We start from the raw sequence: 11,620 nt of genomic DNA, 5'->3' as shown, positions 1-11,620 counted from the left end.
CATGAAGAGTCTCCAAAGTTTCTTTAGAAGAAAAGTGATAAGATATTTAACAGAACCCAATGTTAGGTTCTGTGCTGGATCCCAGCACAAACGCACGAACGCAAGCTTGAGGATCCATGATTCAGCAAACCTTCAGGTCCAGGGAAAGCACCTGGAAGCTTCTCCCTTTGCAGCATTGTTGTAGGTTGAAGGGATTGTGTGGTTCTCCAAACACCTAGCAAGATTCTGGATTGCATGAATACTATTAAGCCTCAGATGCAAGTTGGAGTAAGTTTACCATTCTGAGACCTGAAGATCACATCTGAAGGCCTCATTCAAGCCTAGATACCTCATTTCCAAGGACCACATATAGAGGAATATGGGCAGGACTTGGGAAGAGCCAATAATTACAGAATATAGAGAAAGGTGGAAGAAAATATGAAAAACCCACTTAGCCAGGGCAGGTATCCAGCCTTACCAAGCCCCTGCTATGGACTGGGTGCTGTGTATCACTACCAGCATTACTTCATTTAATCCTCAGAACCCTAAAAGGGAGAAGATGGGTAATGATATTATCCCCATTTTGCAGATTAAAAAACAAAGCAATAGAGCAATTGAGGAATTCGTCTAAGATCATTTAGTAAATAGTGAAAGTATTCCAACACAGATCTGTTGATCATCAAAGGTTGTACCTTTAATCACTGTGTTATTCTGCTTTCTTGTTCCGAATATTCTTAAAATATTTAAAAACTTGTCAATAAAGAAAAGCTTCAAGAAGGCAGCAAGTTCAGTTTCTGAACTCTGTAAAGAAGAGATACACTTTCAGAAAGAGTTCCCAGTTGTTGAAGATGTTGGTGCAGGAGCCAAAAGACCATTTGTCGGAAATGTGGATGATCTAAAGTATTATAATTAAATGGCATATATGTGTTCTGTCAACCTGGTTATTCTGATGTGGGATCCTACTAACAGAACCAGAACCCCCGCATATGGCCATGAAGGTTGGATATTGCATGACTCCAGGGGAGGGATGCTTCATATTCAGAGGCATTGTGGATTTTCATATAGATCATGACAGTTTTCCTGAAGATTTTAGTCAAGAGTGCGAAGGGAGAGCTGCACTCTATTTCTTATATGCTCCAAGTTTCCATTTGGACCCTTAAAGGCGCTAACCATATCTGACATAGAAATATAATTTTAAAGGAAAGGGATGGATAGGCATAAGGCCAGAGATAGGAATATGAGTTAGAGGGTAATGGTGATGACTTCAGCAATAGGTAAGGAATGAGGGTGTGGATAAGAATAGAGAATTGATGAGGATCAGGAAGCTATTTCATATTTGTATTAGTCCAGGAGAGAGATGAGCTGGAAACACAAATTTAGGAGTCGTGAATATGAGAAGATAGTTGAAGGTTAAGGGAACTGGTAAGTCTACATGAGAAAGACCAAGGAACAAGAAAAGACAAGCATTGAAAGCTTGATCACTGTGCAAATCTAAGTCACTGGTCAGGAAACAGAACGTTTTCTGCAGGTAGAAGGTGATTGACAGAGAGAGTGTTTCAGACAGTGGGATGATGGAGAAGTTGATGGACCTCACAACTTGGATTGCTGTCAACCTTTACCAGACCACTTTCAGTAGATTGTTGATGGAGAATGGTACAGAAGTCCAACTGACAAATTGTGGAACAATAGCTGCTCAGAAAGTAGAAATAGTGAGTGCAGAAGGGTGGTGTTGGAGGAGAAACCCAGGGAGCTGTAATTTGAGGTGAAAGGAAGTCACGGGAAGTTTTTTTCATGGGAGCATTGGGAAGACCTGTTGACACAATAAATAATAAATCCTTTGTCAACAAAAGCCATATCTTACACATCACTGTAATATCTAAGGTAAATTTGGTGCTGAATGATCATGTCCCATAATTCCTATACTGGCACATAATAGAACAAGACATTTATTTGTGGGAGGAAATCTAAATGTTTTGCTGTTGAATCGCTTGGGAAGATGGCTCTTCTCTTGCAGTATTGAGAACCTGCACTTGATGTTTTAACAAGGTGTGAGAACACTAAAAAGGAGGGAACAAAGCTTGTAAGCAACTCATAAGGCATGATTCCAGGATCCAGCCTCAGTTTCAGTGAGTCCCACTTCTACATTTCTCTCAAATGCACCATGTGACAGAGAAACTTGGGAGAGTCTTGATTTGGAGGGTGCAGAGTGACTGGGAGACTCAGAGGCCAAGAAACTCTGAAGCCACTACTTGCACTTTAAATTCTTCCTTCTGCTGTTTCTGAACCAGCCGGGAAGCTGTGGCTGAAACTCTGATCATGTATCAAAGCTCTTAAACTGGCCTGGGGCAATTGGTTAAAAAAAGAAAAGGAAAAAAAAAAAGCAGCTGGAACCATTTTGCCATCCCATTGTATCATTATTATTAAACTCTTAGGAGAAAGGATTTTGCAAAATAAAAAGCATGACATATTATAACTTATGGGGAAAAGCATGACAATATAGCATGACATGTTGAAAGAGCATGGCATGTTTTAAAACGTATGATGTGGTAAAGCATGACACCTTCTAACTTCCTTATTACTTTCTGATTTCCAAAGTCTTACTGTTTATTAAAGTAAACAATAGTGAGATGATGGATGATTTCCATCATCTTCATTATAATATTCAACACTTAAAGGTAATATTTGTTTTTATCCTTATGTCTGTTCTGTGTTTTCTTTACATATACACATAAGCTATTATTATTTGTATAATTAAGTTCAGCACTCAATGTGTTGGCTAAATGAACGACAGCATGTACTTTTTGATAATTTTTCTCTTAGAAATACACTGTCAGTTGTTTCCATAGTTCAGTGTGTTTGTCTACTGCTTGATTTGTGTCATCTTCATATTATTCCAATCCTGTACACATATTTCATGATTGGTTTGGACATTTTGGCTGCTGGATACTTAGATTGCCCTATCCTTTTTTTTCAGTTACATATGATGCTGTAGTGAATATCGTCTCCTCAAACCCTTGGTATTATCCCTAGGAGAATCTGATATCCTAACATATATCCTACTTCATACAGAATAAATTTTAAGGCTTTTATATTTATTGTCAAATTGTGGATTAGAATGGTTAGTCCAATTTATATTTCCATAAGCTGGCATGAATGTTCATTTTCCTACATTTTTATTAAGTGCTGGGCATATTCATTAAAAATAAAAATGTTGGCCAGTTTTATAAGATAAATGTGGAATATTGTGTGTATATATATCATATGATAAATGTGTTGGAATTATTGAAATTTTCATTTGATCACAAGGTTTTAAAATTATTTCATATATTTGCCATCCATTTTACCATCTATTATTTCTAGCTCTTCTTCAGTGAGTTGCCTGTTTATATCTTTTGCCAGGTTTTCTATTGATCTATTGATGTATTTACCTTTTTTATTATTTATAAAATATCCTTATATAGTAAAGATATTAGTCTTTTCTCTGTCATGTATATTGTGATGTGTGTGTGTGCATGTATTTTGAAATGTTATATTTTATGTAATCATATATAGTGCTTATTTATTTGGTGAGATCTTTCTTTGCTCTTATGCTTACATAAGACTCTTCTACAATAAAATTATTCCTCTATTTCTCTGATTTTGTTCTAATTCTACCACGTGAAAATCTTTATCTTTTAACTTTTAAAAAATCAAAATTCATCTGAAAGTATGTGAGTGCATGTATGATATTATATGAGGCTGTAATTTTGATTTTTCCTTAAAGATTTAAAGAATTGGCTCATTAGTATTTATTTTTTCCTTTTCCTGTTGTCTTGAAAGCTACCTTTATCAAGTACCAAACTTTTATACATATTGAGCTTTCTGGATTTCTATTCTGTCCCATTAACATATTTTTATATTGATATCATACTGTTTTAATGATATATCAGCTTTGTCCAGCAGTAATCTTTAAAGAAGAATGACAAGACAATAGTAGTAAATTTAACGTAACTTATCAGCAAGGTCTGAGAAGTGAGCATCAAGTTTTAATTTAGGCATTTTCACCAGCTTGCAGGGTGATATTGACTGAGTTGACTGAGTCACCTAAGATTTTAAATATATTCCTTTATTTTAAAATTTAGATTCTGCATGCCTAAAATTGGGGTTGTAACACTTCTGTGGCCAATGTCATTCCACTGTTGCAGAATCAAATGAGTGAAATTATATCAAATCACTTAAAATTTCAACTCTAATTTTGTCGCTTATGAAATCTTTTTTCTTTGTGTGGCGGATTAAATGAAATCTCAGATTTTGTAATGTTTCTTTTAAAAATGAGTAGCCCTGGATTGCAATAGAAAGAGGAAGAGTTACAGGTTTCATTTTTGACCCTAATTCATAATTTAGAAGAGTCACCATTAGAACTTGCCATGTAACCATAGGACCTGCTTAAAGAAAGAGATGATTCAGAAAGCAATTTGAAGCATATTTTGGGATTTTCTGGTCTCAGGAAGAAAAGCCTGCTTCAAGACAAACCTTCCTCTTGAAGGCATACTTTGCATTTGGCATCATCCTAAAGGAGATTCTGCTACTACTGGTGTAGGTGATTCACTACCTAGTGAGCTATTTAAGGGGAAAAGGCTGTGTTCCAAAAATATTTTATGGGTAGTAGTCGCAACACATGTACCATAGAACTTAGAGTATAATAAAAAAAAATTTTTTAAATCTAAATGAATACTTCCTCTGTGTTCACATTTGGATAAAATCCCTCAACCACAGAATAGCAAGTTGGGCAGGAAGGAAAAAGTCTCCCAAGGGCAGGATGCACCAGGTGCAGGACCAGGAGAGCTGGATTGGGACTCAGGAGCTGGGAGATGTGATTTTACCACCCCTTTAACTTTCTGTGTGCTTTGGCTACATCTAGGCTTCAGTGTTCATGTTTGAAAGCAAGAGTGCTGGTTGAATTCTACATTCTCTTCCAATCCAAGCTTCCTATGATTTAGAAACCATCAGCATATGATTCACTGGTGTCACATGGGAGCAATGCCCACTGGCACCTGCTCACCCAAGGTTTGAGAATTACATCACATGAAAAGAAAAGCAGGTGGAGTGGATGATGTTTATTAAGCTCTGGAAGCAGAGTGTGAGCTCTCTGAAGGCAGAGACCATGCTGTGTTATTTTTCCTCCCAGTACCTAGCACCGTCCTGGGTGCACCCAGTGAATGTTGGTTGAAAGAATGAAGAGATGGAATTGAATCTATGGGAAAACAACACAGGTGGCCCGCAATCAGGATAGGAACCTGAAAAAGATGTTTACCCTTTCTGATAAGTATCAGAATCTTGTTCCTTGCTCTCCCATTCTCAGCCTCAGTTTCATGTCTTCCATCCCCACCCCTTCCCCCACAACCTTCACCCAGGGATGAAAAGAGACAGGGCTCCTCCCACAGGCAGACCTCCAACTTGGCCATATTTGTCCACACAAACAACCATCCCTCCTTGTTTGTTCTTCCAGCAGGGTATGAGCCTGAGAGGCAACACTTCAAGGCCAGTACCTCCTCTCCAGGGGCAGTGTCCCAGCATTGATGTGCAGCCTGTTCCCACCCACAACACCAAGGAGCTATTTTGCCAGTACCAGGATGGAGTTCCTACTGTGAGAGCTGGAGGCATTGTCCTCCACCTCAGCTTGGTGCAAAATGTTCCGTTTAGACTGAGCTTTCTACCAACTGGCAGAAGTTTTCTTCTTCTTTTGCTATGAGCTCCATCCTCCTTGCAGCTGGGCTTTGGCCAGAAATGGGGGTGGGGTGTCAAAGGGGTGGGGCAGAGCAGGAGACAAGACCATTCGCTAGAGTTACCTTTTGACGGGATGGTATTATTCTGCCTTCATTCGCCAAGAAATGGAAGAGAAATTAGGGACAGGTGCACTGACCAAACATTCCCAAGACCAGCCCAGACCTCCAGAGGTGAACCTGGGAGCCCTGGAGCCAGGGAAGTTCACTGGTAAGAAACATGGGAAAATGACTGTGCCAGCTTCTAGCAATACAACCAGTCACCTGTCCTGACTGCCTCGTGGGTGCTGTGCTACAGGTTTGTCCTTTAAGCCTTGTCCTTAAGGGTTGGGCATCCAGGTATTCACAACATCCAGGTAAGACAAGCAGCGGTCAGACTCACCATTGCATCCCACTGCATGAATTTTGCAAACATTAGCAGCCTAAAATGGCAGAAGTCTTGGAAGCCAACACAAAAGAGGTAATTGTAAAATGAAGTTATTTACTTCAAGCTAGAACTCTGCATGAATTGCAGTTTTCAGGGAGAAAAGGTGCATTTATTTTCTATCCCAATAATGAAGTTATTTATCATAGTCTCTTCACATCTGATAGAAATGTGTCCCAAGGTGGTCAAACATCACTAAATTTGAAAATACCACCCTAGCAAATAATGTTCCCCAATATTGGTTATAATTGAGTACCATATAACTCAAAGTGTAAGGTGATTCCCATCACTTCTTTAATAATTCTGTGATAGGGAGGTGGAAGTCAATGAAAATAAAACATTTTCAATGATCACTTCTTTAAGAGACCACTGTTTCCTTTGTCTAGCCTCGTGAGGTCGGCACTCCACTTCTGGGGAGTTTGTAAATGAGCCAGGCAGGTGAGGACACTTGGTGCGTGGCTGGCTTGATTCAGTAGTTTGGGTGTTTGCTTCTGTACACCAGCCTCTTACTTTGTTCTATTCAAATTTGTCCCTCTGCAAAATGAACAATTAATGCATGGCCACTTGTAAATGTTAAATCTGAAAATACCAGGGCCACCGTATAGGATGTTTCCATAAATTGCAGGCTGCTTGCCATGTTACCCCCAGTTCTCTTGGGGAGGTAGGAAGATTAGGATGAGCACTTTGCTTTTGGGGAAGTAAAGGCACAGGAAGCTCAGGTAATGAGTTTGATAGAATCAATGCAGAAACCCTATCAATAATCCCTGGGAGAGTAAAAAGTCAGGGGGACTTCTCATGAACGTTTTCAGCCATAAATACATTTTAATGCAAACATGTTTCAAAATGTAAGCAAGAGTGTGCAGCCATTCGAATGAGATTTTATTCACCAAGCGGAAGGCTGCATTGTCATGCGAGGACTCAGTGGCAGGAGAAGATAAAACCATCTTCCATAAAAATGGGGTCATGTAGGTTAAGTCTCCTGGAGCATTTATTAAAAAGGAAATAATTCCTACTTCTCATTCATTGAAAAACTGGAGCATTCTCAAGAAAAAAATGTTAACTATAAAATATAATGATATAATTTATTTTATAGATAGACTGTATGTGTGATTTTATAGAATTGACATGCCAAATGCATCTAACAGGTTTATATCTAACAGTCTAACAGGTTTAATGTTTCATGTTGGTGTTTTTCTTCCTTGATAAGTCAAGCACTTTCTTATTCACAAATCCTTTCTGAAATTTCACACTCTAAATGAAACTAAGGGAAAAACCATATTTTTAAATTTTCTGAAGTGAGTAATATTCTTTTCATTTTACTTTTGTATTTTTGTGCAGGTGATCTCATCTTACACCTGGATGTTTGAAATGAATGAGTTTTTATGTAAAGTATAGGCAGAATTTCTCTATAGTTTAGTAAGTCAAATGTTCATAACTAGATACTGTCGTGCAGTGAACTAGTAGGCTCTTTATGAGCAGAACTTCAGAAAATTGATTATTATAATTCTCTTTATGTCTCTTTAAAATTAGAGAACATTATTTTCTATTCTCTTCTCTTTATACAAGTACTGAGAATACAGCTCAGTTAGCATTTTGATATATAAATATACTCACATATATTTTTACAGATTTTAAGTTCATGTTGTATGCAGATTTTGTTTTTGTTTTCTCCTTTGTTCCCTCATACTATATTGTGAGCATTTCCCCATGGCATTAAATATTCTTGGAAAACATGTTCTTTAATACTTTATGACTATAAATAGTTTAGGGTACCACATATGTGATATCTTAATATGTTTTATGATATACAACACTGTCTATTTAATTTATTGGAAAAAAGGTAAATTCCATGAAATCAGTCAATTTAGTAGAAAGAATAACATATATTTAGTATGGTATTGAATTAACAACTACACAATTTGATCAACAGTTTGGCCTTTCAGCTGTGGTTGTAATAGATTGTTGCGGCAGATCTGGTGGCCATCAGGGTCCTGTCTCTTCTAGGAGTCAATTCACTACTACATTTCATTTTAAACAGAATTCACATGCAGAGAGGCAGAGAATGGGGTATGGACAGAGTGAGATGAAGAACAAGAGGGTTATGCTTTGGATAACACTGGTAACTGGGTTTCTCATGAGCTCCTAATATCTGGGTTTTCTGATAACTGGATTTCTCATGAGCTTCATGCAGGGTATTCAATTTCACTCAATGAGAAGAAGGAAGACCCAACATGAAAAGCAAAGAGCTCATCAGGGACAGGTGGAAAAAGGTATATATTTTTAAAAGCTAGTGTTTTTTATAGTTTTTAACTAGTCATATTTTCCTAACTGAAGTTAGTCCCAGCCTAGTCACTCTGACCCAGTGCATTGCTACTAACAATCAAAGTTGTATTCCACTCTTCCACATTTCTTATCCCTTTGGTTGGCCAACGGGTCACTCCAGCCTTTTAAATACCTCTTACCAAAATGATCTCTTGTATATATTATGATACAGAAATGTGGAGTTTCATATGAGGGCTTAAGCATCATTTAATTGGTAGAACTATAATAAAAGGCCCAGAGAATCTTTGCTGTTTCTTACTCTAATACTGTGCAGGGTCTTGGAGCTTTAATGATATCAAGCATCATAGAAGATTATTATGGGTATTTAGGTGGAGAATAAAGGGTGATTAGAAATCTGGGTTTATATTTAAACTTCAGTCAAGAAGTTTTATCCATTCCAAACTCCAAGTTTATTTCGTCTGCATTCTGAACGTTTTCCTTGAGTCTCATTGGAACCACCTCATGATTTGTTCTTGGTCACACATTGGCCTTTAGCATCCACTTTAAGGTAGAAAGTTATAAAGTATCCCCTCCTTTAGAAGATGTGGGGCTGCATTTTCTTTCCATGACTAAGTAGGCCGTTAGTGCCTATGTAGTGAGAACTAAAAGGGAGTTAGTTTCATATGATGGCATAGCAACATAAAGGAGGGTAGGAAAATACCTATTAAAAATGAATGAAGTAAAAAGTTTGCCTGGCTTCTTCTGACCTGAAAACACACCATTGCCTTGGGAGCAACTCCCATCACGATAGATTATCGGTGAGTCAAGCTGCACATTTCCCTTTTTCTTCCCTTAATTTCAGATTGGGCAGCTCAGGTGTGTGCCAAGTATCTGCTCCAGCAAAACCCTCCCTCCAGCTTGTCAGAGTGGCTATTGTTACTCAACGGAAGCTCATGATTCAGCAGGTACTCAGCGTGTGGTCTCTTAGGAAACGGCTGCAGGGCACCTGAATGATTCACTGCTGACTGACCGCAGCTCCAGCCAGCAAATGCCTCCTACAAACTAACTTTCTCCAAGAGTAGCAGGGTGGACATGTGTCCCAGGGCCAATAATGGAATGACATCCTCAATTAGATTGGTCCCCTACCCACCCCAAGAAGTCTTAGGCATTTATTCGGGAACACAGGTTGGTGTATGGACATTGTCTTCAAACTAAATTACAGGACAAAAGTGTGCGCCATTGCCATAATGAAAAATGTCTGGCTTTCTGCCCCTGGTTATTTCTTCATAACCACTCCAGCATAAAGGACTAATTCGAGAGCAAGACCCTCCCAACATCCATGCATGTATCCACCTGTCCATTAGCCAATAACCAGTTACGTTATCTAGTTTTACCTGAAAACCTTGTACCAAATGCTGAGGATACAAATATGGCTAAGATCAAATCCTGAAGCACTCAAGAACTCATCAAGAACTCAGTCATATGGGATGATCAGCTTTTTAATCTATTAAGTGTCCTATAGCAGTAAATATCATACAGAGGAAGTATGAACAAAATGCTATAGAGGAAGAATTGGGTGTGAGGAAAGAAATAAACTTTCACAGGGGGTGGGGCATGTGGAGTTGAGTGTTTCTTTCTCTGTCTCGTTTTTAAAAATAATTTTGATTATGTGTATTTAAGGTACACAACATGATGTTATGGGATATATAGAGGTAGTAAAATAGTTACTGTAGTGAAACAAATGAACATATCCATCATCTTAGGTAGTTACCCTCTTTTTGTGTGTGGCAAGAGCAGCTAAAATCTACCAATTTGGGAAAAATCCTGAGGACAGTACAATATCATCAGTGTAGTCCCCTTATTGTGCCTTAGCTCTAGACTTGTTCATTCTGTATAGCTGCTGCTTTGTTCCTTGGACCTACATCTCTTTATTCCCACCCCACCCCTGGTCCAGATAACCACTGTTTTATTTTCTATCTCTGTATATTTGACTTTTTTTTAGCTTCCATATGTAACTGAGATAATGCAAATTTTTTTTTCTGTGTCTGACTTATTTCACTTAGAATAATGTCCTCCGGTTTCATCCACGTTGTGGCAAATGGCAGGATCTCTTTCTTTTTAAAGATTAAATAATATTCCTGGCCAGGCACAGTGGCTCACGCCTGTAAACCCAGCAATTTGGGAGGCCAAGGCGGGTGGATCATGAGATCCAGAGATCAAGACCATCCTGGCCACACCACAGTTTCCTCATTCATTTGTCTGTCAAGGGACACTTAGGTTGTTTCCATATCTTGATTATTGTGAATAGTGCTGCAGTAAACAGAGAAGTGCATATATCTTTAAAGGTGATGATTTCATTTCCTTCGGGCATGTACCCAGAAGATAGATATTTAGGCCATAGGGTAGATCTATTTTTAATGTCTTTAGGGAACTCCATACTGTTTTTAAGAATGGCTGCACCAATTTACAGTCTGACCAACAGTGTACAAGGGTTCCCTTTCCCCACACTGTTGCCAACATTTAATATCTCTTTCATTGTTTGATAATAGCCATCCAAACAGGTGTAAGGTGATATTGGACTTGGATCTTGAAAGGTGAATAGGAGTGTGTCTGGCAGAGGAGGAGGTCAGGTGCATCTCTGGCTTAGAGACCCACATGACCTTTTTTTAAATTTTTTGAGACAGGATCTCCCTCTGTCACCTAGGCTGGAATGCAGTGGCACAAACACGGCTCGCTGCAGTCTCAACTTTCTGGGCTCAAGCCATCCTCCCACCTCAGCCTCCCAAGTAGCTGGGACTACAGGTGCATGTCACCACTCCTGGCTAATTAAAATAAATTTTGTAGAGACAAGGTCTTGCCATGTTGCTCAGGCTGTTTTCAAACTCCTGGGCTCAAGCAATCCTCCCGCCTTAGCCTCCCAAAGTGCTGGGATTACAGGCGTGAGCCACCGCACCCAGCCTCACCTGATCTTTTGTTGCTACTCTTTGGGACCCCTGCTCCACAGTGAATTGGGGTATAATTCCTAGTCAGCAGGTTCCATCCCCAAGCAACTTAAAAGGGCACAGACACATTTAGTTATAGACATGGTTTTGTTATAAAATAAGTTTCTCAACCTCTTCAATAGTGGTTACACTTTTCCATGCTGATGTTTTGGGTGAAAATTATCCTTCTGCAGTCACTTACACTCTGAAAC

At 38.8% G+C, this 11,620-nt stretch overlaps 2 annotated features.

Moving 5' to 3' along the window:
- Positions 8,608-9,807: an enhancer, noted in NCBI's record as "P300/CBP strongly-dependent group 1 enhancer chr20:22370619-22371818 (GRCh37/hg19 assembly coordinates)". NCBI's record gives its function as "activates an origin of replication core promoter dependent on BRD2, BRD4, P300/CBP, MED14 and CDK7 cofactors, with strong dependence on P300/CBP, by STARR-seq in HCT116 cells {active_cell/tissue: HCT116}" and the evidence as "EXISTENCE:reporter gene assay evidence [ECO:0000049][PMID:35650434]".
- Positions 9,118-9,669: an enhancer, noted in NCBI's record as "OCT4-NANOG hESC enhancer chr20:22370757-22371308 (GRCh37/hg19 assembly coordinates)". NCBI's record gives its function as "activates a minimal SCP1, AML or CMV promoter by ChIP-STARR-seq in primed H9 embryonic stem cells {active_cell/tissue: H9 hESC(primed)}" and the evidence as "EXISTENCE:reporter gene assay evidence [ECO:0000049][PMID:30033119]".

Source organism: Homo sapiens, chromosome 20 (assembly GCF_000001405.40).
Source record: "Homo sapiens chromosome 20, GRCh38.p14 Primary Assembly".
NCBI lineage: Eukaryota > Metazoa > Chordata > Mammalia > Primates > Hominidae > Homo > Homo sapiens.
The sequence above is the reverse complement of the archived record's forward strand: the minus strand, read 5'-3'. Positions and strand labels throughout refer to the sequence as shown.